Raw genomic sequence first — 6,999 nt, 5'->3', positions numbered from 1 at the left:
CTCTGATAAACACTCACATTTTTATGTGATATAAATTGTCACATCATTGGGATAAATACCTAGAAGAATGATAGCTGAAGTGCGTGGTGAGACGATATTTAGATTTGTAAGAAACTGCCAATCTGTCTTCCAGCGTGCAGTACCATTTTTAAAATTCCCTTCAGCAAACAGCTACTATTGCTCTACATTTTCACCAGAATTTGTAATACTTCGGTTCATGGATTTAAGCCATTTTAACTAATGTGTGGTAGTATCACAATTGTTTTAATTTGTGTTTCTCTAAAGAAAAAAAATACTGAGCATATTTTTATATGCCAGTTGCCATGGGTATTTCGGGGGCAGGGGTGAGGTGTCTTTTCAGATTCTATGCACATTTGTAATTGGCTTGTTTGCTTTCTTATTCAGTTTTCAGAGTTATTTGTATGTTTAGATACCAATACTTTATTAGATATATGGTTTACAGATATTTTCTTCTAGTTTGTGGCTTGTCTTTTAACTCTCTGGAGTCTTTCACAGAGCAGAAAATTCCATTTTAAATTTAACAAACTCTAACATCATTTTTTCTTTTATAGCTAGAACTTTTCGTATTAATATTATATCTAAAAATCCATTATCAAACCTAATGTCACTCATTACATGTAAAGCATACTTTCTTTTTCAACTATTCTAGTGGTTCCCCAGAGTATCCAATACACATTTGTTACTAATCTAAGATCACCTTCAAATAGCACTCCACCAGTTCACATATAGTGCAGGTACCTTAATAAGAAGTTACAGCGTGCTGGCAGCCCTTGCTCGCTCTCCGTGTCTCCTCGGCCTGGACGTCCACTCTGGCCGCGCTTGAGGAGCCCTTCGCCCCACCGCTGCACTGTGGGAGCCCGTCTGTGGGCTGGCCAAGGCCGGAGCATGCTCCCTCTGCTTGCGGGGAGGTGTGGAGGGAGAGGCACAGGCGGGAACTGAGGCTGCGCCGCACACGCGGGGGCGGCCCTGCACTCAGAGCGGTCAGGCTGGCGCCACAGACCCTGGGCAGTGAGGGGCTTAGCACCCAGGGCCAGCCGCTGCAGAGTATGCGCTGAGTTCCGCATCACTGCCAGCCCGCCCGCTCTAGGCTCGAATTCTTGCCAGGCCTCAGCCGCCTCGCTGTGGGGCAGGGCCCGGGACCTGCAGCCCACCATGCCCGAGCCTTTCCCCGCCCGCGCCTTCCCCCGTGGGCTCCCCAGCGGCCGGTGGGAGTCTCCCCAACGGCACTGCCCCCTGCTTTGTGGCGCCTGGTCCCATCAACCACCCAAGGGCTGACTAGTGCAGGCGCCTGGCGTGGGACTGGCGGGCAGCTCCCCCAGCGGCCCCAGCGCGGGATCTGCTAGGCAAGCCAGCTGGGCTCCCCAGTGAGGTGGGGTCTTGGAGAACTTTTGTGTCTAGCTGGAGGATTGTATATGCGCCAATCAGCACTCTGTGTCTAGCTCAAGGTTTGTAAACGCACCAATCAGCACCCTGTCAAAACAGGCCAATCAGCTCTCTGCAAAATGGACCAATCAGCAGGATGTGGGTGGGGTCAGGTGAGGGAATAAAAGCAGGCTGCCACAAGGGACAGTGATAACCCGCTTGGGTCCGTTTCCGTGGTGTGGAGGGTTTGTGTTTTTGCTGTTTGCAGTAAATCTTGCTGCACACTCTTTGGGTCCACACTGCCTTTATGAGCTGTGACAACCACCGGGAAGGTCTGCAGCTTCACTCCTGAGGCCGGTGAGACCAGGAACCCACTGAGAGGAATGAATAACTCCAGACGTGCTGCCTTAAGAGCTGTAACACTCACTGCGAAGGTCTGCAGCTTCACTCCTGAAGCCAGCAAGACCACAAACCCACCAGAAGGAAGAAACTCCGAACACGTCCGAACATCAGAAAGAACAAATTCCGGACACACCATCTTTAAGAACTGTAACACTCACCACTAGGGTCTGCAGCTTCGTTCTTGAAGTCAGTGAGACCAAGAACCCACCAATTCTGGACACGTTAATAGAATAGTCCCAGTTCATCCTTCATATCTTTTGTAACATAACCATCAGGCATTTCACTTACCCACATGTTGTAATTGCCCAAAACATTTACTAATATTACTTTAAACGAACATGTAGTTTAAAAAGACTTACAATAAGAAAAATAAAACATTTTTTTTCCTTTTTCAACATACTTGCTTTCTTATTGTAAATACAGGTTTCTGATCTATATCACTCTTCTCCTCCATGAATAACCTCTTTTAACACATTTGCAGGAAAGTTTTCTGGCAATATATTCTGTTAGTGTTTTATTGTCTGGTAAATTCTGATTTCCCCTCTGCTTTTGAAGTATAATTTTGCTAGATGTAGAATTCTAAGTTGGTGCATTTATTCCTTAACATTTCCCGCAACTCTCTTCTTTCTTGCCTGGTTTCTTACTGGAAGTGGGCTGAAATCCTTGCTCTTTTTTCTCTACAAGGAATGTAGTTTTCATTCCAGATTCTGTCAAGATTTTCTCTTTGTCTATTTATTGATTTATTTTATTTTCTTTTATTCTACATATAGGAAATGCTATGTCTGGTGCTGTATTTTTGTTGTTTGTCATGAATTGTATTCTCTGAGCTTCCTGGACCGGTTGTTTGTTTCATGTCATTATGCTTTAAAATTTCTTGACCATTACTCATTTAGATAGATTCTCCTCATTTCTCTCTTTCTCGTCTTTCTGCTATTCCAGTTTCCCATTTTGTACAACTTTAGAAACTGCCCAGCGGGTCCTTGATGTCCTTCACTTTTTTTTTTCCGTTTATTTTTTCTTGGCACTTTGTTTTAAAATGTATTTTTGACCTATCTTTAGTTTCACCAATTCTTTCCCCAAACATGTCTGGTCTACTAATGAAACCATTGAAAGCATTTTTAAAAAATCTATTGGCGTTATTTTAATTTCTAGCCTTTTATTTTGGTTCTTTGTTAGAATTTTCATCTCTCTGCTTATACTAATCATCTTTTATTGAATATTTTCTACATTTTCCACTAGTGTCCTTAACATCTTAATCATAGTTATGTAAATTTCTTGATTGCTATTTCCAAAATATGCATCATCATCACTGAGTCTTGTTCTGATGATCATCCTGTCTCTTCAGATTGTTAATTTTTTTCTTGCCTTTTACCATGTTTTGTAATTTTGTTGCCATTATTGAGCGCCAGACATGTGGTATCCATAATAGATATTGAGATAAATTGATGCTGAGATAAATTGATACTGAGATAAAGTTAATTGAGGATATATGTTAATCTGTCTTGGAGTTGAACTGCATTTAATATTTGTTATAGCTCAAGTTTCTGAAGGTTTCAAATTCCTCTAGTGTCCTTGTTTTTGTCTCCTCCCTTAACTTTAGGTTTCCTTAAGTACTCATCTTCAAACAGTGTCTGTTTCTTATAGCTCTTTTGTCTGTCTCCTTATATTGGAGTCATGTTGGTTTAAATTTTATGGTATGAGCAGAGAAATATGTTCTATAGTGCTCTGATTGAATATCCGCCTTTCAGTGGGCCTATGTCTTAGGTTATGACTTTTACGAGTGTTTTGCCAGTAGTTTATCTTTTGTCCCTGTTACAGGACTGCCAGATTCATATGCCCACTGAGCAGCAATAGACCAATACACTGAGACATCATAATTTCCAGCAGAAAAAGAGTTTAATAATCACAATGCCATTGGGCAAAGAGATGAAGGAATCCTCAAGCTTCAAATCTGTCTGCTTGAGGGGTTCTGGACCAGGGTTTTTAAGGGGATTGTGGCGGGTGAGGTTCTGGAGAATTGGGGTTGTCAATTGCTCAGGTCAAGGAAGATTAAATCATCACAATGTGAAAACTGCATTCTTCTGTGAGTCGGCTCCTTGCTGGGACCTTCAGATCAACTGGCGTCAACAATTTTATCAGTATGCGTAACATAAAGGAGAAACTCAAACAGAAAGCGTATCATCTCATGTGCCTTAGATCTTATCTATAGAAAAGAAAAGGAACACATTCTTGTGACAAGGGCTACACTATCTTGGGGGAGTAAGAAGTAACTAGCTACAAGGAAGTAGGCCAAATTGGGAAGTGGATTTCATGATTGCCACTGATTATTCTGCAAGCCTAGTTGAATTTTATTTTCTCCCTTAATTGGTTTATAAACTTTTCTTTGGGACAGTTTCATCCTTTATCCCCTTTAGATGAGAAAAGAAGGTTAAATGAGGAGGTGCCAAGATGGCCAATTAGAAGCAGCTGTGGTCTGTGACTCCCATCTAGAAGAACAAAAATGGCGAGTGAATTCTGCACCTTCATCTGAGGTATCCAGATTCTCTCACTGGGAGTGACAAGGTGATTGGCCTGACCCACAGGGAGCAAGGAAAAGCAGGGTGGAGCAATGCCTCACTTGGGAGCTGCATGGGGCAAGGGGCACTCCCACCCCCAGTCAAGGGAGGCAGTGAGTGATTGTGCTCCCTTTCCTGAGGAACCATGCTTTTTCCATGGATCTGTGCAACTCACAGATCAAGAGATCCCCTTGTGAGCCCACACCACCAGGGCCTTGGGTGCCAAGCACAGAGCTGTGCAGACTCTCATCACCGCTCAGGCTGTGGCCAGTGACAGCAGACTGGAGACTGTCTAAGATGACTGAGTTCCCAGGGGAAGGGGTGGTTGCTATCACTGTGGCATCAGTTGGCTGTTTTCCCCTGGTGGTGCTGGGGAGACAGGGAGGTTTAGACCGGGAGCACAGCAGCTGTGGCAGATCATGGCCAGACTGCTTTTTTAGGTGGAACCTGGATCCATCCCTATTCATTGGGTGGGGCCCCCTTGTGGGAATTTCACCAACTCCAGCCAGAGGTTTATGGACAGAACTCTGATCTTCCTGGGCAGAACTCCTGTGGGGAGGGACAGCCACAGTCTCTGCGGTTCAGCAGACTTAGTCTTTCCTGCCTGCTGGCTCTGAAGGGTCTGGACATTCTGGACAAGGGAGATTCCCTCCAGTGCAGTGCACCCTCTCTGCCAAGGGGCAGCCAGAGTGCTTTATTAAGTGGTCCCCGATCCTGTACATACTCCCTAACTGATTGAGACCACCAACAGGGGTCTCCAGGCACCTTATACAGGAGTGTTCCTGCTGGCATCACATCAGTGCCCCTCTGGGATGGAGTTCAAAAAAGAAGGAGCAGGCAGTCATCCTTGCTGTTCTGCAGCTTCCACTGGTGACACCTCCAGGTAGGGGAGGGACCAAGTGAATAGGGTCTGGAGTGGACCCCCAGCAAACTGCGGCAGCCCTAAGGAAGAGGGGTCTGACTGTTGAAAGGAAAACAAACAAACAGAAAACAACAACAACAAAAACATCCACAAAAATGGCCCCACAAAAACCCCTTCCAAAGATCAGCAGCCTCAAAGATCGAAGATAGATAAGCTCATGAAGATGAGAAAGAATCAATGCAAAAATGCTGAAAACTCAAAAAGCCAGAATGCCTCTTCTCCTCCAAATGATTGCAACACCTCTCCAGCAAGGGCACAGAACTGGGTGGAGGCTTGAGGTGGATGAACTGACAGAAGTATTCTTCAGAAGGTGGGTAATAACAAATTTTGCTGAGCTAAAGTATATTCTAAAACAATTCAAAGAAGCTAATAATCATGAAAACATTATAGGAACTGTAAACCAGAATAACCAGTTTATAGAGGAACATAAATGACCTGATGGACCTGAAAAACACAACACCAGAACTTCACAATGCAACCACAAGCATAAATAACTGAATAGACCAAGCAGAGGAAAGAATCTCAGAGCTCAAAGACTATCTTGCTGAAATAAGACAGGCAGATAAGATTAGAGAAAAAACTGAAAAGGAATGAAAAATAATCAGAGAACTATGGAATTATGTAAAAAGACCAAACCTACAACTGATTGGGGTACCTGAAAGAAATGAGGAGAATGAAACCAAGTTGGAAAACATACTTCAGGAAATCATTCAGGAGAATTCCCCAACCCAGCAAGACAGGCCAACATTCAAATTCAGGAAATTCAGAGGACTTCAGTAAGATCCATGAGAAGATCAACCCAAAACACATAATGGGCAGTATCTCCAAGGTCAAAATGAAGGAAAATTTTTAAGAGCCATGTCACCTAGAAAAGGAAGTCCATCAGAATAACAGTGGACTCCTCAGCAGAAACCCCATAAGCCAGAAGAAATTGGGGGCTAATATTCAACAGTCTTTTTTTTTTATACTTTAAGTTTTAGGGTACATGTGCACATTGTTCAGGTTAGTTACATATGTATACATGTGCCATGCTGGTGCGCTGCACCCACTAACTCGTCATCTAGCATTAGGAATATCTCCCAATGCTATCCCTCCCCCCTCCCCCCACCCCACAACAGTCCCCAGAGTGTGATATTCCCCTTCCTGTGTCCATGTGATCTCATTGTTCAATTCCCACCTATGAGTGAGAATATGCGGTGTTTGGTTTTTTGTTCTTGCGATAGTTTACTGAGAATGATGATTTCCAATTTCATCCATGTCCCTACAAAGGACATGAACTCATCATTTTTTATGGCTGCATAGTATTCCATGGTGTATATGTGCCACATTTTCTGAATCCAGTCTATCGTTGTTGGACATTTGGGTTGGTTCCAAGTCTTTGCTATTGTGAATAATGCCGCAATAAACATATGTGTGCATGTGTCTTTATAGCAGCATGATTTATAGTCCTTTGGGTATATACCCAGTAATGGAATGGCTGGGTCAAATGGTATTTCCACTTCTAGATCCCTGAGGAATCGCCACACTGACTTCCACAATGGTTGAACTAGTTTACAGTCCCACCAACAGTGTAAAAGTGTTCCTATTTCTCCACATCCTCTCCAGCACCTGTTGTTTCCTGACTTTTTAATGATTGCCATTCTAACTGGTGTGAGATGGTATCTCATTGTGGTTTTGATTTGCATTTCTCTGATGGCCAGTGATGATGAGCATTTTTTCGTGTGTTTTTTGGCTGCA

The 6,999-nt window shown here is 43.5% G+C and overlaps 1 long non-coding RNA gene across 1 annotated transcript in view, besides 1 other annotated feature; it reads right to left on the bottom strand.

Moving 5' to 3' along the window:
• Positions 1,024-1,529: an enhancer, noted in NCBI's record as "H3K27ac-H3K4me1 hESC enhancer chr9:67068313-67068818 (GRCh37/hg19 assembly coordinates)". NCBI's record gives its function as "activates a minimal SCP1, AML or CMV promoter by ChIP-STARR-seq in naive H9 embryonic stem cells {active_cell/tissue: H9 hESC(naive)}" and the evidence as "EXISTENCE:reporter gene assay evidence [ECO:0000049][PMID:30033119]".
• Positions 3,663-6,999, bottom strand: part of LOC105379814 (uncharacterized) — a 35,297-nt gene continuing 31,960 nt past the window's right edge. The window contains exon 4 of the long non-coding RNA XR_001746478.3: positions 3,663-3,988. This is a non-coding gene — a long non-coding RNA (uncharacterized LOC105379814). The remainder of the gene's footprint in view (positions 3,989-6,999) is intronic.

The sequence above is a fragment of the Homo sapiens genome, chromosome 9 (assembly GCF_000001405.40).
Source record: "Homo sapiens chromosome 9, GRCh38.p14 Primary Assembly".
NCBI lineage: Eukaryota > Metazoa > Chordata > Mammalia > Primates > Hominidae > Homo > Homo sapiens.
Note: the sequence above shows the minus strand (reverse complement) of the source record. Positions and strands in the feature narration are given on the sequence as shown.